Genomic DNA, 22212 nt, shown 5'->3' on the forward strand with positions numbered 1-22212 from the left:
CCTTCTGCAGCAGGGGTGAGTTGAAGGCATTCATGTCTCTAGAGTAGGGGGCAGAGTGGTGGCTGGCAGTGGTGTTGCTGGCTTTGAACCTGACCTGTTCCATGAGGTTTTTTGTGCTTTCTCTATGCAGATTACAGAAGCATTTAACTGGCAACAAAATGAATCAGGCAGGGCATAGCGGCTCATGCCTGTAATCCCAACACTTTGAGAGGCAGAGGTAGGGGGATCGCTTGAACCCAGGAGTTTGAGAGCAGTCTGGGGAGCATGGCGAGACCTCGTCTCTACGAAAGATTAAAAAAAAAAAACATAGGCTAGGCAATATAGTGAGACTCTGTCTCTTAAAAAAAATTAGCTGGGCAAGGTGGCATGCACCTGTAGTCCCAGCTACTTGGGAGGCTGAGGTGTGCTCATTGTTTGAGCCCAGGAGGTTGAGACTGCAGTGAGCCATGATCGCACCACTGCACTCTAGCCTGGATGACAGAGAGAGACTCTGTCTCAAAAATAAATAAACAAATAGAAAGTATTTTAAAAATTAGCCAGGCGTAATGGCATGTACCTTTTGTCCCAGCTACTTGGGAGGCTGAGGTGGGAAGATTGCTTGAGCCTGGGAAGTCGAGGTTGTAATGAGCCATATTTGTGCCACTGCACTCCAGCCTGGGCAACAGAGTGAGATCTTGTTTCAAAAATATAAGATAAAATAAAAATAAAGTGCATTTCCCATAGACAGAAAAACAAAAGGATCAGGTTACCTATTAGTAGCTCCACTTCTGAAATGAGTATTATGTAACATAAGATACTTGATAAAGATCAACAACCTATGCTAATACATTTTTCCAAATGGGCAGATACTACTAATAGGTCTGTAAGGGATAATGCAGGGACCCTTAGCTCAGCGTGTGCTGCTTTGAGCTTTGAGTTACTGTAAGAAGCAGGAGTATAGAGGAGGGATCTTTACCACCTCTTATATTCTATGATCCTCGTTTGCCCACAGATGTGGAGTAGCTGAATAAATCCAAGCAAGAAGGGTTAGTACTTTGAAACTGTGTATGTGTATAGCTACTGTACATCAACACACAGGAAACTGAGTGCACAAATTTTAAGCACATGGAACCTCCTAGGACCCGAGAACCAATCAGGGCTTCACTGCTAAAGAGCCGCACAGGCTAAGAGAAGGGATGGGATGAGGTATGGCAAATTTTTTTTTTTTTTTTTTGAGACAGAGTCTCGCTCTGTCACCCAGGCTGGAGTGCAGTGGCACAATCTCGGCTCACTGCAAGCTCCGCCTCCTGGGTTCACGCCATTCTCCTGCCTCAGCTTCCTGAGTAGCTGGGACTACAGGCGCCCACCACCATGCCCAGCTAATTTTTTGTATTTTTAGTAGAGACGGGGTTTCACCATGTTAGCCAGGATGGTCTTAATCTCCTGACCTTGTGGTCCTCCTGCCTCGGCCTCCCAAAGTGCTGGGATTACAGGCGTGAGCCAAAGCGCCCGGCTGAGGTATGGCAAATTTAAATGCCTGTGTGCCGATGTGACTGTCAGAAGATTTAACTTGGGCACAGAAGAGTGGCAAGTGTTGCCAGCTGTAAACAAGTGGCGTGCCTAATTTGTGACAATCAACCTGCCCATAGGGACCCTGCCTACAGGGTTAATAAAGGAGAAAAGATAATAAGGAGAATTGAGACCCTTAGGAACTAGAATGTGCCAGTCCTTCTATGAGGTCAGTGGCTACTCACGCCTGCCAATTGTTGTTCTGTGGGAGCGCAGGCTTCTGGTTGTCTGTCTTCCTTTTTTTTCCCAAGAGAACATTTTCTGGTTTTTAAATCACTATGGGGGCCTGATGAGCAGCCAGTTTTCAGCCTCTGGTTTAAAGTAGTGTAAATGTCACATCAACTCCGATGAGTGTCGAGCAGATTAAATAGAACCAGTGGTTCCCTTAGAAGGCACTTGTGAAATACTTTCAAAATCTGTGTAAGAATTTCTCCCGCTAGGGCAGATCTGGGCACTGCCCCTGATCATCTTCTGCCTTTGTTTTTAATCTCTGGGGAAAATAATAAGCCACTGAAACCTTCTATAGTTTGTTTTCATCAGTTTATAGAAGCAGATCTCAAACGTCAGTGTGCATCACTGTCCCTGAAGGACTTGCTAAAACACAACTTACTGGGCCTGATTTGGGAGTTTCTGATTCAGCAGGGGTAGGGCTTGAGGATTTGCATTCTGGCACATTTCTAGCTGCTGGTTCTGGGATTCCACTTGGAAAACTCCTGCTTATTTTTTACTATCTTGAGGAAGTTAATGTAGGTGCACAGCTGCAGAAATTTAACTATAGCCTGCTATTGTGATCTATTTACCATATCATTGTTTATTCTTGCTGTAACGTTTACCCCCAGTCCTAGTAAACTCAATTTAAAAAGTACATTTTGATGTGGAATCTTGTCAATATAGAACTTGAATGGATAGGTAAGGCATGATTTTGTCTTGTAGAAATTTTACTGCATTTTCTCAGGTTTTTGTCGTGTTGCTTCATAGCAGAGAAAGGGCAGATGAAACTGGTTCTTATGTGGATTCATGGTTTTTTTAAAAATAGATCTAAGTAGTTTTTTTCCCTAAAAAGTCCTTTCACAAATTGGTGCATCTCTTTAGAATTAGATACATTTAATATCTACCCAACAAATTTCTGTTCATTGTCTGTCCATCTATTCATCCATCCATCCATCCATCCATCCATCCACCCATCCATCCACCATGTCTCTATTCAACTGTCTATCTCATTAATTTTTAGGGCTATATCTTTGAAAAATACTTTAGGAGCTGTGTTTAATTATTTAATTGTTTACCATTGTATAATTGTTTAATTAAAATTGTTTTAACCTGAGAATGACTTTTTTCAACAAGGATATTATGGCATGGGAATCTGTTGAGATGCAGTCATATTTCAGATTTTCCTTTTGCTAAACTAAATGCTTTCAGAACATATTTGAAGCAAAAGTTATATTAAGGTGGAAACTAATTTTTACTTTTTTTCATATTTATTCACAGTGTTCTTTAGATTCCAGTTTAAGAATTATGATTTGCCTCTTGAAGATCCCTTCTACCAATGCTACAAGGGTATGTATGTTTCAGAAAAACATAACCAATTGGTTAGTCAGTTTTTTTTAACCTAATGAGATAGGCTTGTAGCAATACTGAAGACATAGTTATGGCATACTGAATGCTTCCCTTTCAGCCTCCTTCTTTTTCTTCATGCTAGGTCAGTGCCTTGTATAAAGAACTCTATCTAATACATCACAATGTCATGGTTTATAACTGGTCCTGCTAACCCTGGGCCATGCCCCCCAATCCATCCCCCATACTACTAACTAGGCGATCCTTCTAAACAGGATCTTATCGTGTTGGTTCTTTGCTTTAAAATCTCTGATAACTTCTCATTTCTGTCAGGATGATGTCCAGATTCCTTAATGTGGTATCTAAGATGTTACTTCATAACTCTCCAGCCCACCTTTCCAATTTAATCTTTGGCTCCATGTCTTATTCATCCCTTCCTCCTATGCACTTTCAGAATCAGCGTTATCATCATCATCATCGAAACAACAACCACTGTTTGTTATCATATGGCAGACATTATGCTTAATGCTTCAGATATATAATCTTATTTAATTTCATACTTCCTTGCCTTTGCTTAGGCCATTTCCTTTGCCTGAAATGTTTTATGCCCTTGCTGGTGTGGTGAACTCCTTCTCATTCTTCAAGGTCCCATTTAATGAAAAAACATATTCATATTATCTGTAGTAACTTTTTCCTGTATCAGCTTCCATGGTATTTGATAGAGCTCTCTATAGTAGCACTTACATTGCCCTGAAGTGGTTCCAATGAGACCACAAGCTTCAAGAAGTTCTGCACCGTGTCTCATTCACTTTTGTATTCCAAGCTGTATTTCTGCACTGCATTCGCTGCAGTGGTACAATAGTTTGCATTGCTATAGCTTGTAATTACTATTTAATATACCAACAATGTACGTATTCTGCAACTGTTTAACTTGACTGTGCTTTCATAGACTCATGGTTTATGCTAGAAAGTTACAAAGAGATCATTGGTTCAATCCACTCATTTACAGACGAGGAAACAGGCTCAGAGAGATGGATTGTCTTGGCCAAGATCACATAGCTGGTTAGTAGAAGATTTGTGACTTGAACATAAGTCTTTTGGGTCCATATCGCCCCATCACTATGCTGCTCTTCTAAATATAAGAGCAAGTTTCCATATAGGCTTGAATTCAGGCTTCTCTTTTTGACCAATAAGGATACATTATGTGCAACATGAGACATTCCTATTCCTTTCATCTATTGACAATGTTTCAAGACAATAGCATATATATATATATATATATATATATATATATATATATATATATGTGTGTGTGTGTGTGTTCATTTTATTTTATTTTATTTTATTTTGAGACAGAGTCTCGCTCTGTCACCCAGGCTGGAGTGCAGTGATGCCAACTTGGCTCACTGCAGCCTCCGGCTCCCGGGTTCAAACAATTCTCCCTGCCTCAGCCTCCCAAGTAGCTGGGACTACAGGCATGCACCATACACCTGGCTAATTTTTGTATTTTTAGTAGAGATGAGGTTTCACCATGTTGGCCAGGCTGGTCTCGAACTCCTGACCTCAAGTGATCCACCAGCCTCAGCCTCCCAAAGTGCTGGGATTACAGGCATGTCCCACTGCGCCCAACCTCAAGGCAATAGCATTTATATGGAGCAAAGAATAATGAATCATTAGTACTAAGTCTGTGAGTTTCTTTAAGATTTTCTATATGGAAAGCACCACATGGATTTCTGTGGGGGAATACAAATAAGTAAAAAACAGAATTCCTATCTTTAGGGGCAACTAACACAAAGTGCATTCATTTTCATATCGATTAGAAAAAAGAACCTCAAATACGCTCATGTCCTTTAATTTAGTCATTTTTTTTCTGGGAATCTATTCAAGGAAGAAAATGCAAATGCTAATTTCATGTAAAATATATTTATTGGGTTGTTATTTATAGTAAAATGTGACTTTGTGGCCATTAAAATGGATGATTATGAAGAATTAAATGGCACTGAGAATTTCTGATGTTGTATTAAGTTAATATAAAACAAAATATAGGATTGTACATGTGTAATATTTCCACTACATATCAAAATATAATCACAAGGTGGTGGGACTATGGATGACTTTTACTTCTTCCTCATGTGTCCTTTCCTACATATCTTGAGTTTGACATTGAACATGTATGACTTTTGAAAACCAGACAGTGAGCACTATAGAGATTGAGAAGTATTGGAACTCATGGCATGCAAGTGTTTTGGAGTCCAGTTAAAATCCTATCTTCTCTGCAGAGCAATTCTACCTCTGGAAAATTGCCCTGGAACTTGGCTTTGAATTCTACCTGATACCTTTATGGTCTTAGGCAAATTGCTTGTCTACTTAACTGCCTAAGCTGCAGAGCAGGAATGGATACTAAAGCTTCAGAAGGTTAATAATGAAGATCATAGCTAACACTGATGGAGAGCTTACTGGTGCCAAGTGCTTTACATATATTATCTCTTTTAATTCTCATAACTTGCACCCTAATGAGGTGGAAGCCATTATTATCCCCCTTTTACAGAGGAGAAAACCAAGTTCCAGAGAGATTAAATCACTTATTCAAGGTCACAGTGAGCTAGAGTGTGAAAACCCTTGTGTCAGAATTTAGTGCTTGTGTCATTACCTATATTATAACACACTGTCTCCCAGGATAGTTATGAGAAATTTGAGTAAGATAAACTATATGAAATCATCCATCTAACTCTGTCTGACACTCAGTAGGTACTCAACAAATGTTTCTAAATGACTTAAGAAAGCATATGGAACTAAAACTGATCCTTCATGGGTAGGATTCAGGGGGAGAAACCAAAACAGACTATGCCTTCCTGATTAACATTGGCAGGAGGCTGGGTTGTGATGAATTTTATCTAAGCTATAGTACTTTAGTACTTACACGTAAGGGTGGTTTGCACTACTTAACCCAGAAGACAGGCTTCCAGATCTGAATATGATGAACTCATAAATACTTAAATGTTCTGAAAATAAAGTGGAAGATCCCACTGCAAACCCCACACTCTTGATTGCTTAGGGTGGACACGAAGACAGGGTTGTAGTAAGGAAGGTTTGTAAATGATACCATATGGAAAAATGAATGTCTTTTTGAGCAGTGAAATGATTTGGTCCTGCTCTTTGAGCCCTTGACTGAAGGTGCAGTTCTGTTTTTATTAGACCAATGGGGTTGCTACAGGAGCCACTGGGCAACAGAGTTTTCAATTAAAAAAAAGTGATTCCATTAGTTAAAGTATCATAAGATTTTAATACTTTTTTTGAAATGAAGTAATCAGCAATTGACTTTATTTGGCCCCAATCTCATTGCAGAGTTTGTTGGAACCATTTTCAAAACTGCTCAGCTTTGTAATTCAGAATGCCGTCTTCACTCTGGCCTACCTGGTGGAGCTGTGTGGCTTATGTTACCGAGCTTTCACTAAGGTAAGCAAGCTTCCATATGTGTGTTCCTGTGAAACTGAAAACTGGCAGAAATATATTCTTTTGAATCAGTGTCAAGTCCCTTTTAGCTCAGTTGCTTCCATATAGTTAAAAATGAGTAATTCTACTGAGGTCTAATAAATACCATGGTAAGGAAACACTTTAAACACACACACACACACACACACACACAAACACACATACAATGTCTAAAATATGCACATATGCAGATTCAGAGAACTGAGGGTCATGTGGTTAGAACAGAAGTGGTATTTTTAATGAAAAGAGCTAATGGTTGACATGACCTCTTAAGGTCCTTTTCAAGTTCATCATCCCATGATTAGTGGGGCAAGGCATCTCTACATATCATTTTTATACCCAAAGTAGAAAAATATCAGCTGTCATTTGTAAAAGCCTTTGAAGAGCTCCTTAATTCTCATCATTTGTCTGTCTCTCCAGGTCTGGGTTCTTGGCCTCTGAGATTGGAATCTTATCTCATCTTTTGTCATCTTGCCTTAATAATGGTTTCTCTATTGCATTATCTGTAGAACCCCTGGCCCACTACTGAGAAAGTGGAAAAGTACTGCTGGCCCAGTGGCAGTAGCAGCCTTGTTGGAGCTGGTAGATGCTGTCCTAATGGAAAATCAGAAGGCAGGGCAAAATGGGAGCATTTCTGTCCTTAAGAACAATGTGCAAATGTTACCCTTTCAATTTCCTAATTTTCCAAGCTTGTTTTCAATGGGTCTCTGTTTCTGTTGTTCTCTCTTGAACATTCAGAATGTTTCTTATTCATGTTGTCCATTTCTATAAGCCCTTTATTTTCCTCATAAAAATCTAATTTTATACTGAGGCTTTCATTCTATTTAAAGCATTCTTGTCCCCTTTCTTACCAACTTGGGTCCATTCTGTCATGTTAAATGTTCCATGGTAATCTTTGTTTTTCTGATTAGAAACTATTTATTACCCTGCCTGGAGCAATATGTTTTCTAACTACCATGATGGTCAGCATTTTTTTCTTCTTTTAGAAACTTCTTGAAAGATAACTTCTTCTTCTTTTTCACTTAAAAATGTAGATCTATAAGACACAGCACCAAAAAGATTTTCTATTTCTAGAAACCATTTGATTTCTTCATTGTGTTTATGTTTAATTTGTTTAAATTATACCTTTTTTGGGGGAAGAATCATAATAAGTTTATACTTTCTATGTTGTACACTGTAGATATTGATTACAGGGGACCTTCTAGCATTTGGATTCAAGATATTATTGGTTTTCAATTCAAAATATTCATTACACAGGATATCTCCTCATAATCCCTCATAACTTTAGTGGCCTTTTACTTCCCATTATCATCTACCCTTTCTCATTCTAATACAAGATGATGATTACTTGTAGAAAGCTTTAGTTGATGGTGTTCCTACCTTCCTCACAGATAATGAGAAACTATAAGAAATCGTTTAAAAATAGCAGTAGCTAATTGAGCTGTCTCCCTTATATAATCAAAAGAAAAGGCATAGAAAGGTAAGAACTTTGGAGACTTCACTTTCTAGCAAACTGGTAGTCTAGATACCCTGAAAACCACCCCACTTAAAATACTAGGAACACTGGATGAAATGTAATAAAGGTGATTTTTAATGTAGAGCTAATTTTATAGAATGAAAGGGGCAAAAATGAAGCGGGATTGACAATCAGAGTGGTAAGCATATAAGTAGCCCTGTGGTGGGGCTGTTGCTTGTCTTGGTAACTTAGTGGCTAGAGTTTTAAAGCCCATACAAAGAAAAGAGATGAAGTCTTGGGATTATCCAGGCAGGGAGTTTGATCTGAGTTATCCCTAGCAAAAGGTCAGAACCCTTGAAAGCCTATTCACTTGGTAAAAGGGTGGTTTGGAAAGAATACATTCTTATATAGAGGTGACAAAGAATGGTATCTGTCTCAGTTTGGGAACTGGGAGAAAGATTTATAGTCTCCCTTGAAAATTAGTAAACATGGGCCTATCTTGGATCAGGTTTAGAGTTTGAATTTATAATATCTGCATGCTCTTGGAACTCCCAAGTTGAAGAGTCAAATAACATTAGTGCTTAGTAAGTAATAACCTTGGAATATCTGGCAGAAGCAAGATCAAAACAAGCCTCAACCCTCTCTGGAGGAATATATCTCCAACCTAGGCCCAGCAGGATTCCTATAGTTAAAATCCTAATGAACATGAGCTCATAATCTAAAATTACAAAGCAAATGAAGATACAACCCACCTTGTGATAGATTAGGAAAGTCAACAAGTAGCAAGATCATTTCCCACAAGAACTTTCAATATTAAAACTGTGATAAAGACTATAAATGATATACATATCATTAAAAATGACAATATATAAGTGACTATACTTTAAATGATATGCATATGAAGAATGTATATATAAATATTATAAAATATAATAAAAATATAAATCTAAATGACTATACTTTAAATGATAAGCATATGAAAAATAAATAAAATAATATAATAGATTTAGTCATTTCAAAAAAAAAAGAAAATAAACCAGACAGATTTAAACAAAGTAGAAATTCTAGAAATGAAAAACAATCACTGATATAAAAAACTTAATGGATAGATTAAATAGTAAATTAGACATAGCCAAAGAGAGAATTGGTGAAATGGAAAATAGATGAGAAGAAATTACCTAGAATTCAGAAGAGAGAGATAAAGAGATGAATATAAAGAGAAATTCTAACAGATATCTAATAAATATTTCAGATAAGGAAAATAGGCTTTTTATCAATTCTAGAGTTGATGGAAATATTTAATTTTCTGATTCAGGAAGCACAATGAGCCCTGAAAGTATTATAAATAAACTAAAGTTTTACCTGCTCATGTCATAATGTACATGAGTAGGTATAACTTGTCAAAACAGTCAAGACAAAGAAAATATTTTCAGAAAAACCAAGGGAAAAGACACTCTGAAGACAGACAATACACTTCTCAACAGCACAATAGAAGCCAGAAGATAATTGAAAAAAAAAGTCTTTAAAATGATAAGAAAAAAGAACTATCTACTTGGAATTCTCTACCAGCTAAGCTATCCTTCAAGAATGAAGGATAAATAGATATTATATCAGGAAAATAAGAAGGCTTCTAATAGATTCTTACTGAAACAACTACTAAAAGATGTAAGAAGGAAAGTGAACCAAGAAGGAAGGAGTGAAATGTGTGAAGGAATGATGCTCAGAAATTGGTACAGTGTGAAAATCTAAGTGACCATTGATAATACAAAGCAGTAATAATAATAATGTTAGTCAGATAGGCATAAAAACAAAATGACAATAGAATACTAGAAAATAGTACTCTGTAAGGGGTGTGTGTTTGTGTGTGTGTGTGTGTGTGTGGTTGGAGACTGGAGTTAAAGCATTCTATATATTATCTACAAGAAGGACAGAGATAATGAATAACTTTGAACTCTTAAGAATACAGGTAGACATTGTAAATGTAAACTCCAAAGGCCAGAAATAGAATTTATAAGTTCCAAACATAGAATAAAACAAGAATAAAAATTCAATCAAGACAAAAAGAGAAGCATAGAACAAGCTGTAATAAGCACACGTAGGATGACAGAATCACAATAAATATAAGTTTACTAGACTCACTAGGGATTGTCAGATTGACTTTTAAAAATTAATCTACATCTAAAACATGTCTAAAGACAGCAAGAAAATTTAAAAGAAAAAGGTTGAAAAAGATATACCAGACTAATACTAATAAAAAGAAAGCTGAAGTTAGTCAACTGACTTTAAGTTGAAAAGCATTATTACAAAGAAAGTCACAATATATTGATAAGAGGAGCAACTCACCAGGATAATGTGACAATTCAAAAATTACACAGAGCTAATAATATAGCCTCCAAATATATAAAACAAAATATAATAGGCTTACAAAGATAAATTGATAAATTCACAGTTATACAGGGAGATTTTCTCTTTCAGTTATGGATAGATCAAGCAGATAAAACATATAGTAGATTCAAACAATAACAGTGAGCAAAGTGGATGCAACGGTCATATAAAGAATCCTGAATCAACCAATTTTAGAACAGATTTAAAAATGTGGAAGATTTTAAAACATGGAACAGATAGTAGGCAATTAATTAATTAAAGAAAGGAAGCAGTAAAGATAATAGCAGAAATTAATGAAATAAAAAACAGATATACCAGCCTGGGCAACATAACAAGACCCTGTCTCTACAGAAAAATAAAACAATTAGCCAGTGTGATAGCATGCACCTGTAGTCCTAGCTGCTCTGGAGGCTGAGGTGGGAGGATTGCTTAAACCCAGGAGTTTGAGGCTGCCACAAGCTATGATTGCACCAACTGCACTCTAGGCTAGGTGACAGAGCAAGACCCTTTCTTCTTCTTTGAAAAAAAGAAAGAAGGAAGGAAGGAGAGAGAGAAGAAGGAAAGGAAGAAAGGAAGGAATGAAGGAGAGGGAGAGAAGGAGGGAAGGAAGGAAGGACAAAGGAAGGAACAAAGGAGGGAGAGAAGGAGGGAAGGAAGGAAAGAAGGAAGGAAAACATAGATACAATGGAAGATCAATACAACAGAAAGGTGGCTCTTTGACTAGACTAATAAAATAGACAAACCGTTGGCAAGACTGATCAAGAAAACCAGATAAAACACACTGATAAAGAATATCAGCATAACTACAGACAGAGATTTTGAAATCAACAACCTTATGCCAGTAAATTTGAAATCTTTGACAGTAGGTACAATTTTCTAGAAATATATAATACAAAACATCCAGAAAGAAAGAAAAAGAAGTAACTGACTAGACTTAGGTGCCTGGAAAATGGAATCAATAGTTAAAAACCTACCCTCAAAAACTATTCCAGCTTTAGAGGACAACTTCTACTAAACATTTAAGAACTGATCGATCTCTTCTTTATACAAACTAATAGAATAGAAAAAAAGGAACACTTCCCAACACATTTCATGAGGCCAGTAGAATTTTGATATCAACCAGAGAAGGACAATAGGGGAAAGGAAAATTATAGGTCAATATCCTTCATAGATGCAAAACTTCTGAATGAATAATAGCAAATCAATCATTAAAAATAGGGCCTCTTGACAGAGTTGGAAATGTCTCAAAATATAAAAATGTTTAAATATTAGAACATCTATTAATATCACCATGTTATCAGATTGAAGAAGTAAAACTTCTATCATTATTCAGCAGGTGCAAGAAAATAATTTTTTGTAATTCAGTCATTTATCATAAGCTCTTATCAAACTAGGAATAGAAGGGAACTTTCTTAACTTCATATAGTGGGTCTACCAGAAACATCTAGCCAGCATTATATTTAATGGTGAAATGCTAAGAGTCATCCCTTTAAAATCATAAATAAGATGAGAAAGTCTATCATCACTGTTTCTATTTATCATGGTGCTGGAGGTCCCATTCAGTTCTGCAAGACAGGAAGAAGAAATCAAAGGTATAAGGATTAGAAAGGAAAAATACAACTCTCATTTTTCATAGGTGATACGATTACAAATGAACCAAAGGGAATCTATAGACAGCTTTTTAGAACCTACAAGAGAGCTCAGCAAGGATGCTGGATACAAATGAATACCCAGAAATCACCAAATTTTAATATTCAACTACAGATGATTATAAAACATACTTTTAAAATGTCATCTATTGTGGTGACAAAAGATAAATCTATTAAGAATGTGCAATGGCTGGGTGTGGTGGCTCATGCCTATAATCCCTTCACTTTGGAAGGCCAAGGTGGGAAGATCGCTTGAGCCCAGGAGCCTGAGACCAGCCTGGGCAACAAGGCGAGACTCCATCTCTATACAAAAAAAAAATTAGGCGGGGCAAAGTGGCTCATGCATGTGATCCTAGCACTTTGGGAGGTGAAGGTGGGTGGATTGTCTGAGCTCAGAAGTTTGAGACCAGCCTGGGCAACATAGTGAAACACTGTCTCTACCAAAATACAAAAATTTCGCTGGGCATAATGGCACGCACCTGTAGTCCCATTGCTTGGGAGGCTGAGGTGGGAGAATTGCTTAGCCCCAGGAGGTAGAGGTTGCAGTGAACCGTGACTGTACCACTGCACTACAGCCTGGGTGACAGAGTGAGACTCTGTGTCCTTCACAAAAAAAAAAAAAAAAATTATCCTCTAGTCCTAGCTATTTGCGGGGCTGAGGTGGGAAAATCACCTGAGTCTGGGGGTTTGTGGCTACAGTGAGCTTTCAGCCTGGGCAACAGAGTGAGAACATTGTCTAAAAAAAAAAAAAAAAAAAAAAAAGAATATGCAAGAACTTTATGGAGATAACTGGAACATTTTACTGGAGAGCATTACACAATGTTAAATAAATGGAAAGAGATTTTATGTTCATGGATGAAGACCCAGAGTAGTAAAAACAGGTAATTCTCACAGAACAACCTATAGGTTTAGTATAATGACAATTAAAATCCTGGATTTTCTCTTCTGGTGGTGGTAAACAAGATAATTTGAACCTGTTTTCCCAGTTAACTTAAAAAGTAAAAAGAAAAAAAGTGAACAAAACATTTTCTGAAAACTTCTTCAAAATGCTAACTATATAGAGAAGGGTTATGAGGCTCAGATCAGGAAGAGCCCAGATATTCAGAGGTGTTAGCCCAGCACTGATGGCCATTTTTACCCAGGGAGTGTTTGTCAATCTAGATGTGACTGAGAGGCTGCAGTTTTGGAAGCCCCATGAGGCTAGAGGAACAAAAGTCCGGATCCAGAACCTACCAAGAATGGAGACCCTGATGCCATGCCTCCTGACCCACACATTTTTGGCTTTACATTTTGGTGTAAAGACACCCCCATAGTAACTTTCCTTCATGTGGACACAGCTCAGTGTCAAGCCCTGTGGTAGCCCAATGTAAAATATTACAAGCCTTGTATGTGTATTAAGGTAACCCTGAGCCTGGGTAACATGGCAAAACCTCGTCTCTATAAAAAAATTTTAAAAAAATTAGCTGGGCATGGTAGCGCATGCCTGTAGTTCCAGCTACTCTGAAGGCTGAGGTGGAAGGATCACTTGAGCCCAGGCGGTCAAGGCTGCAGTGAGCTGTGATTGTGCCCCCGACACTAAACAAACAGAAAGCTCTTTGAAGGAAGGTAGCATTTCAGGCTGCAAACCATTTCTGCAAATATCTTCCTAACAAAGCATTCAGCACACAATCAAAGATAACCAGACATATGAGGGGGCAAGACACAATGAGTGAAAATGAATAGGAAGAAAAGACAGTGGAGACAACCCCACAGGGACTCTACTTATTTGATTATGAAAGGATTAAGATACACAGGGCTTCTGAGACACTTGCAATGTGCTGTTGTTTGTCTGGGAGGTGATTACATGAGTGTTCGGTCCATCTTCTGAGACTGGAAAAACTCAAACTCAAGCCATGTTTTTCCTCTGCTCTCACAGTTATCAAGACCAAAGACTTCTGTGATCAAATGTGTGGAGATTTCTTCCCACCAAAAAGCAAGCAATGGATTCTGCAGAATAGACTCATTTCTATTCTGACACTAATTACCTGGAGATAGCATCAGATCCCATGGGTTGAGGGCTCAGCCCCTAAGACTGTCCTCCATCTCCCACCTTCATTTGCCAATTGCAGGCTCTGGTTGTTTTACCCGTGCTTTTGTCTAATTGGTTATAAATTAGGGATCCTTCCTCTTTGGGCTCAATTAATTTGGTAGAGCAGCTCACAGAACTCAGGAAAGCACTTGCTTACATTTACCAGTTATAAAGGATATTAGAAAGGATATAGATGAAGAGATGTATAACGCAAGGCACATGGGAAGGGGCACAGAGCTTCCATGCCTTCTCTGGGCATGCCACCTTCCAGGAACCCTCCATGTGTTTAGCTATCCAGAAGCTCTCCAAACCCTTTTCTTTTGGGTTTTTATGGAGGTTTCATTATGTAGACATGGTCAATTAATCCATTGACCATTGGTGATCAATCCAGCCATCAACCCTTCTAAGCACTTCTCTAAAGGTTGAGGGGTGGGGCTGATAGCCCCAACTCTCTAATTGTGCCTTGGTCTTTCAGATGATCAGTCCTCTTCCTAATGCTACCTAGGCTGCCAGCCATCAGTCAACTTATTAGCATACAAAAAGAATCAGTTTGGGAGAGTCTAAGGATTTTAGGAGTTGTATATCAGATACAGGATCAAAGACCAAATATATATTTTACAGTATCATACATATGAATCCATTTAACTGTATGCTTATATTTTATGTACTTTTCTGCACATGTGTTATATTCAACAATAGAAAAGTCTTACAAAATTGAAACCAATTCAACATTCCATCAACAGGGGGACTGATTGATTAATTTTGGTGTATTCATACAATAATATATTGTTAAGCTGTTGAGTTGAAAGAACCAGAGCTATATGTATCAATAAGGATAATTTCAAAGATATATTGCAGTGAGTAATTACAAGTTGTGGAAAGATATGCACAAGATAACATTACAGAAAGTTTAAAAATGCCAAACAATATTATATATTATAATGGAGACAAACATATGTAGTTAAACTGTAAAAACATACATGAAATAATAAATACCAGATTCAGAATAGTGGCCACTTCAAAGAAGAGAGAAAGGAAGAAAGAAAAGAGAGCACTGTATAGGTAGCTTCAGCTGTTTCTGTGATATTTATTATTTAAAAAGGATGAATCAACTTTCAACCAGGGATTAATATCCAGAATATACAAGGAACTCAAACTCAACAGTAAAAAAACAAAAAACAGGGCCAGGCGCGGTGGCTCACACCTGTAATCCCAGCACTTTCGGAGGCCGAGGCAGGTGGATCACCTGAGATTGGGAGTACAAGACCAGCCTGACCAACATGGAGAAACCCCATCTCTACTAAAAATACAAAATTAACTGGGCATGATGGCACATGTCTGTAATCCCAGCTACTTGAGAGGCTGAGGCAGGAGAATTGCTTGAACCCGGGAGGCAGAGGTTGCAGTGAGCTGAGATAGTACAATTGCACTCCAGCCTGGGCAACAAGAGTGAAACCCTGTCTAAAAACAAACAAGCAAACAACAACAACAACAAAAATGTAAATAATCCCACTAAATAAATAATCCCTCTAAGTAAATAATCCCACTAAACAGTGGGCAAAGGACCTAAATAGACATTTCTCAAAAGAAGACATACAAATGGCCAACAGGCATATGAAAAAAAATGCTCAATATCTCTAATCATCAGGGAAATGCAAATCAAAACCACAATGAGATATCATCTTACCCCAGTTAGAAAGGCTATTATCAAAAGGACAAAAAATAACAGATCCTGGCGAGGATATGGAGAAAAGGGAACTCTTGCGCCCTGTTGGTAGGAATTTAAATTATGAAGCCACTATAGGAAACAGTATAGATATTTCTCAAAAGACTAAAAAGTACCTGTCCTATGATTCAACAATGTGACTACTTGGTATTTATCCAAATGAAAAGAAATCAGTATATCAAAAGGATACCTGCACTCCCATGTTTATTGCAGCAGTATTCACAATAGCAAGAGTATGGAGTCAACCTAAGTGTCCATCAATGGACAAATGGATAAAGAAATGTGGCATGTATACATAATGAACTACTATTCAACCATAAAAAATAGCAACAGGGATGGAATTGGAGTTTGTTATGTTAAGTGAAATAATCCAGGCACAGAAAGACAAATATCATATGTTCTCACTTATATGGGGATGCTAAAAAAAGATTGATTTCATGGAGGTAGAGTGTGGAAGGATAGCTACCAGAGGCTGGGAAGGGTGTGTGTGGGGAGGATGAAGAGAGTGGTTCATGGGTACAAGCATACAGTTAGATAGAAGAAATGAGTTCTAATGTTCAATAGCAGAGTAAGGTGACCATAACTAATGACAGTATATTGTGCATTTCAAAATACTATAAGTGAGGACTTGAAATGTTCCCAATGCATAGAAATGATAAATACTCAAGATGATGAATAACCTAAATACTCTAACTTGATCACTACACATTCTGTGCATGCAACAGAATATCACATGTACCCCATAAATATGTACAAATATTATGTATGAATTTAAGAAAGAATGAAAGAAGCTAGGATTCCAAAAAAGGATGAATCAAATAAAGCAAAATGATGTGATCTGACAAAGAGGGTGGTAGGTGCATACTGTATTCCATTCTCTCCATTTTTCTGGATGCTTGAAATAGTCCATTTCAGAAATAAGTTCCTTGGAGAGGTCACAGAATAAAGAGTTGTATATGTTTCTCTCTAAATCATTTTGTGTTGAAAAAATACTTTTCGACTGATTTAATTGCTGCAGTTCTTGGAACCTGTTTCCTGTGAATAAGAACCAAATACTGGGGCATCAGTGTTTAAGAGATAGCTTATCTTTTTCTTATCCATTAAATTATTTGTCCTCAGTGCTCCTGTAAACTCATTACACACACAAAAATGCCTTTTTTTTGTTCTAATTTTATTTCTTGAGGACACTTCACTATGCATTTTTGAATACTGTTTTTTATTTCTGACCCGTGAATTTTTTGGAAGCTCTTTTGACATGGATATACTCTAATTGAATTTCTAAAATCACTTACCTCCTTCTGTTTTGTTTTCTTTAGGAACGAGATAAATTCTACTTGTCTCGTAGTGTTGTTCTAGAACTTCTGCAGGCCCTAAAGCTCAAATCTCCTTTACCAGATACAAACCTTCTTCTGCTTGTTCAGGTAAGCTCATGCTTGATTTGTAAAACTTTTCATGAGATCCATGTATGTTTGGGAAAATTAAGGGAGGTGTAGAGTGTATGCATAGAACTAAATATCTTTGCTTAGAGATGATAAATAATATATCTTATATGGACCATGATCTAACTAATAGTATGCACCTGACGCTTCCACTGGCTAAAAAAGTCCAAGAAGGAGTATTGATTTTGTTCCTACTGTGGAATTAGTTCTGTGGGGGTTAAAAAGAAGAATAAAACAATAATTTTTGTCCCCAAGAAATGCGTGATCCAGTAGGTTAGAGGGTCAGGTCAGTCACCAGAGCTGAGACAGGTCTACTGAGGCCAGAAGTGGGGGAACAGGCTGAGGTCTGACTGCAGAGTCAAATGAGTATGGGTGATCCCTGAATCTCTGTGAGCAGAAGTAAAGGAGAGGGTGGGTCAGGCCAGAGACAGTCAAATGGCAGGATGCACTGAGTGGTACCCACAGTTGGGTGTAGGTACGCTTCAGCCCTCAGGGGACCACTGAAGCTGAGGACCACTATAAGGCAGGCTTTCGAGAACTGGCAACAATTATGCTTTTGGTTTTAGGGCTTCTGAGGGACTAAAGCCTTCTACCCTGCTGTCCTTAACTCAGCATCTTAGGCAGGCATGCAGGTTTCGATGACCTGAGACAGGCTATGATAGTGCCATGAGAGAAAGAGGTAAAAAAACTCCTAGGGAGAAGTTGAGAGCAGGATGGATCCCACCCCTTATGATGTGAAATCAGAGACTTCATGAAGGAAGTAGCATTTGAGTTGGGTCACAAACGACTGGAGGGTACAGACAAATGTCTTTGCCTGGGATTAGGGTTCAGCATAGAGAGGTTGACTGGCTTCAAGCATAGGGGAGGCTTAGGCAGGATGGTGGAGTACATTTAGGGATAATGGCATGAGGATAGGGTTGAGAAAAAGTAGAATGGCTGTGCCAGAGGAATCAGCAGGGGTTCAGGTAACCTGGCACCCTGCCTCTCACCCAAGGGTTGAGGCTAGATTTAGAGACTTGGCCATGAGCTACAGCTGGGATCAGGGTGTCATTCAATGGCCTTTGGGTAAAGTGCCCAGCCATTGCATCACAGCTGTGTCAGCACTCGCTGATGAGCATTAAGACCAGTCCCAGAGTCTGGGCCTACAAGCTGAGGGTTAAATGATTGAAGGAATATGGGAGCTTGGTATCAAGGAACTAGACAGATTTCCCTGAATTCTAAGTACTCATTTTGGAGACATGAGAGAGAAGGGAACACTAATGGAGGACCTATTATGTGTTAAGCATTTGATCCTTACAGCTTCGTGAAGCATTGGTTCTGTATTGCATGGGGGGGTTCAGTGGCTTGCCCAAGACCACGGTGCTGGCCTAAGTGACAGGTAGTATCAAGCACCTGATTTCAGTGTGTTAGGGCTCAGAGCCCAGCTCCCTTTGGTATAACACACAGCCTTGACAGGCCCTTTCCATCCCTTACGTGGATTACTGTAACAGCTCTTAGCTTTGTGCACCTCTTTAATCTCTTTCCGCACCAACCCAATCTTCTGGCCTGTGGCTGCCTAGAGGAATTTTGCTGAAACTCCGCTTTTCTGATAGAGATCACTCTTGCATCAGAAACCTAGAGTGACCTTGTAAGGTCTGAACTATCCAGGTCTTCCATCATCTGGCCACATCTGACTCTTCAGCAGTATTTCCCACCACAAATATTTACTGACCACCTATCTTGGGCTGGGTTCTGGGAATATAGAGATGTGACAGGCATATCCTGATAATGTGCCAATTACTCTCCTGAAAGTCTAGACAGTGTATAAAACACTGTGGAAGAGGAAGTGGCTAACTGAACCTAGGAGACGGAGGAAGGCTTATGAAGCATTATGAGGCCTGACATGGGCCAGGTGCTCTGCAGGGTGCTGGGGAAACAGAAGAATCAGCCATGACCCCTTCCTTCCAGGAGTTTACAATTTAGCAATTGAAGTTGACATGTAAGTTAAAAAAAAAAATTCCCACATAGTGCAACGGGTACAGTAGTAGAGATGTGTACTGAGTAAGGAAGTGTTGTTTGTAGAAGAGTTCACATGCACCTTGAAGGATGCACAGAAGTTCAGGAGTTGACCCAGTAGAGAAGATGAGGAACAACTCTTGTCATTTACTGTTGAATATCCACTGCCTGGTCTCCGTACTCCCTCTCTAGAGACTACAAATCATTAGGATCAGAACTGAGTTTTTCTCAAAGGCTTGAGATTTAATTAAAAAGTTGGTGTACTTTCAATGAATGGTCTTGAGTTGTCTTTGAAGGGCTTTCTAGGACACATTGAACTCTCAGTGAGTCAGTGATTGCTGGAAAATGACAGCAATGGATGCAGGGCATGCTGTCATCAGAATGAAGTGGCTCTTATTATACCAAGTTACTGGACATCCCAGGAGGAAGACAAGCAAAGTCACAGCCAGAAAATATCTGTGCTCCTAAAGAGAAACCAACTTTGCATTTCTCTCTGTGGATTGCACTGGCCAGGCCCTTCTGCTCACATAGCAGCAGCAACACTGCCTTTGAGAACAAGCAGTGTTCACACAGACTTTTTTACTTATTTATTTTTAATTAATTTTTGAGACAAGATGTTGCTCTGTCACCCAGGTTGGAACGCAGTGGCATGGTCTTAGCTCACTGCAACCTCTGCCTCCCTGGCTCAAGTGATCCTCCTACCTCAGCCTCTGATGTAGCTGGGACTACAGGTGTGGGCCACCATGCCTGGCCAATTTTTTAAATATTTTTAGTAGAGATGGGGATTGGCCATGTTGCGCAGGCTGGTCTTGAACTCCTGGACTCAAGCTATCCACTCATCTTCGCCTCTCAAGGTGCTGGGATTACAGGTGTGAACCACTGCTCTTGGCCCAAAAAGATCTTTTTGAAGATTCATGGGATCTACACTGACTTGGAGGAGAGGGCAGGTGAACAGGGCTTAGGGAAATATCCCGGGAGGGATTTAAGGTTAGCAGCCTGACTGTGTCTGGAGGTCACTTGCTTCTGAGAGTGTTGCAGTTGGAGATGTGCCACCTGAAAACCACCTAGACTTCAGGGCACTGAAGGTGCTTTCCTGCGGACAGTGAACAGCATTCCCTTAATTGCCCTTTGTCTTGAGCAGAGCAGATCTGTGTGGCTGATCTTCTTGGGGTCTAGCACTCCATACTGTAACTGCTGGAGACTGGTTTTCAATGCAATACATTAGTCAACTGTAATAAGCACTTGTCACAAGATGCCAAAAGAACACTGACAGTTTAAATTACCCAGTGCTTAAGGAAACCACAAAAACAGTGATTATTGCATCACAGTTAGGTGAATAAATAACAAAAACAAATGAAGAAGAAAGACAGCAAAAAGATACTTCTGAATGTGTTTTATGGGTTTTCATCTACCATTTCATCTTTTTAAAACAAATGTGTGACTTGTCATTGAAATCATTAAGTTACAAAACATCAAGTTGTAAAATTATTCAGATTGAAGGGGTATTTTGGAGACATTTTCAGATCATGCCCAGGAAAAACAACTTTATGGAAATGTTTCAGTCTTCTCCAACAAAAAATGTTGAGCGTGGTTTGTTCCTGGGTTTCAGCACCAAGGGAAAAAAAAATTAAGCCATTTCAAAGTAACAAATCTTTGTTCTATAAACTCTTAAGCAATTTTTATTTCTAATCAGAGAAATAAAAGTGAGGCATACCTTAAAACAGAGTAGTTCCCTTTTCTGCCCTGTGGTCCTGCCTAAGTCATGGAGAGAAGTCTTCCATGGGGCCACACATGGTATATTAGTCTGTTCTCATGCTGCTAATAAAGATATACCTGAGACTGGATAATTTATAAAAGAAAGAGGTTTAATTGACTCACAGTTCCACATGGTTGGGGAGGCCTCACAATCACGGCGAAGGTGATTGAGGAGCAAATTCATGTCTTACATGGCAGCAGGCAAAAGAGCTTGTGCAGGGGAACTCCCATTTATAAAACCATCAGATCTTGTGAGATTTATTCACTACCATGAGAACAGTATGGGGGAAACCACCCTCACCATTCAATTATCTCCACCTGGCCCCTTGACACATGGGGATTATTACAATTCAAGGTGAGATTTGTGTGGGGACATAGCCAAACCATGTCAGATGGGATGAGGAGAAACGTTGTTTCTCTTGTGAGTAGTTCCTCTTTTTTTTTGAAATGGAGGCTTGCTCTGTCACCCAGGCTGGAGTGCAATGGTGCAATCTCAGCTCACTGCAACCTCCACCTCCTGGATTCAAGTGATTCTCCTGTCTCAGCCTCCTGAGTAGCTGGGACTACAGGCACGCACCACCACACCCAGCTAATTTTTGTATTTTTAGTAGAGATGGGGTTTCACCATGTTGATCAGGCTGGTCTCAAACTCCTGACCTCGTGATATGCCTGCCTCGGCCTCCCAAAGTGCTGGGATTACAGGCGTGAGCCACTGCGCCTGGCCTAGTGCCTCTTTCTAGGGTTTCTCAGTTGCTTTTTTTCTTGCCCTTGACTGCCTGGGTCCTCCAGGTGTTCTCTGTAGAATAGTGGAAATGACAGCCTACTCTCTGGAAGCTTCTTTTAGGCCAAAGATCTAGGCTGGAGTCAGAGGAAACCTTTCCCCTTTACCTTTGGGCATTGTCACCTCCTGGCACTTGGACAACCAGGCTTACATCAGGGACAGATGATCTGCCAGGAGCAGACAGTGACTTTCTTTATGTATATCAGTGACCATCATCTGAAGGCCACCCAGTGAGGATGGGTTTAGTTAACTGAAAATGCAATTTGGAAATGTAAAAAAGATCAGTAACCAGAAGGAAAAACTCCCTAGGTGATCCATCACGAATGACACTGGTCCCCATGCTGAAAACAGAGTCTGTTGCTCC

General features: G+C 39.1%; 1 protein-coding gene across 33 annotated transcripts in view; it reads left to right on the forward strand.

The window, feature by feature from the left end:
• The window catches only part of UNC79 (unc-79 subunit of NALCN channel complex), a 374695-nt gene that overhangs the window by 322975 nt on the left and 29508 nt on the right, over nt 1–22212 (forward strand). For all 33 annotated transcript variants that reach the window (XM_011537027.3, NM_020818.5, XM_011537026.3 and 30 more), the window contains 3 exons: nt 3037–3105; nt 6448–6558; nt 17195–17299. In XM_011537027.3, the coding sequence (XP_011535329.1) occupies nt 3037–3105; nt 6448–6558; nt 17195–17299 (285 nt within the window). The remainder of the gene's footprint in view (nt 1–3036; nt 3106–6447; nt 6559–17194; nt 17300–22212) is intronic.

Source organism: Homo sapiens, chromosome 14 (assembly GCF_000001405.40).
Source record: "Homo sapiens chromosome 14, GRCh38.p14 Primary Assembly".
NCBI lineage: Eukaryota > Metazoa > Chordata > Mammalia > Primates > Hominidae > Homo > Homo sapiens.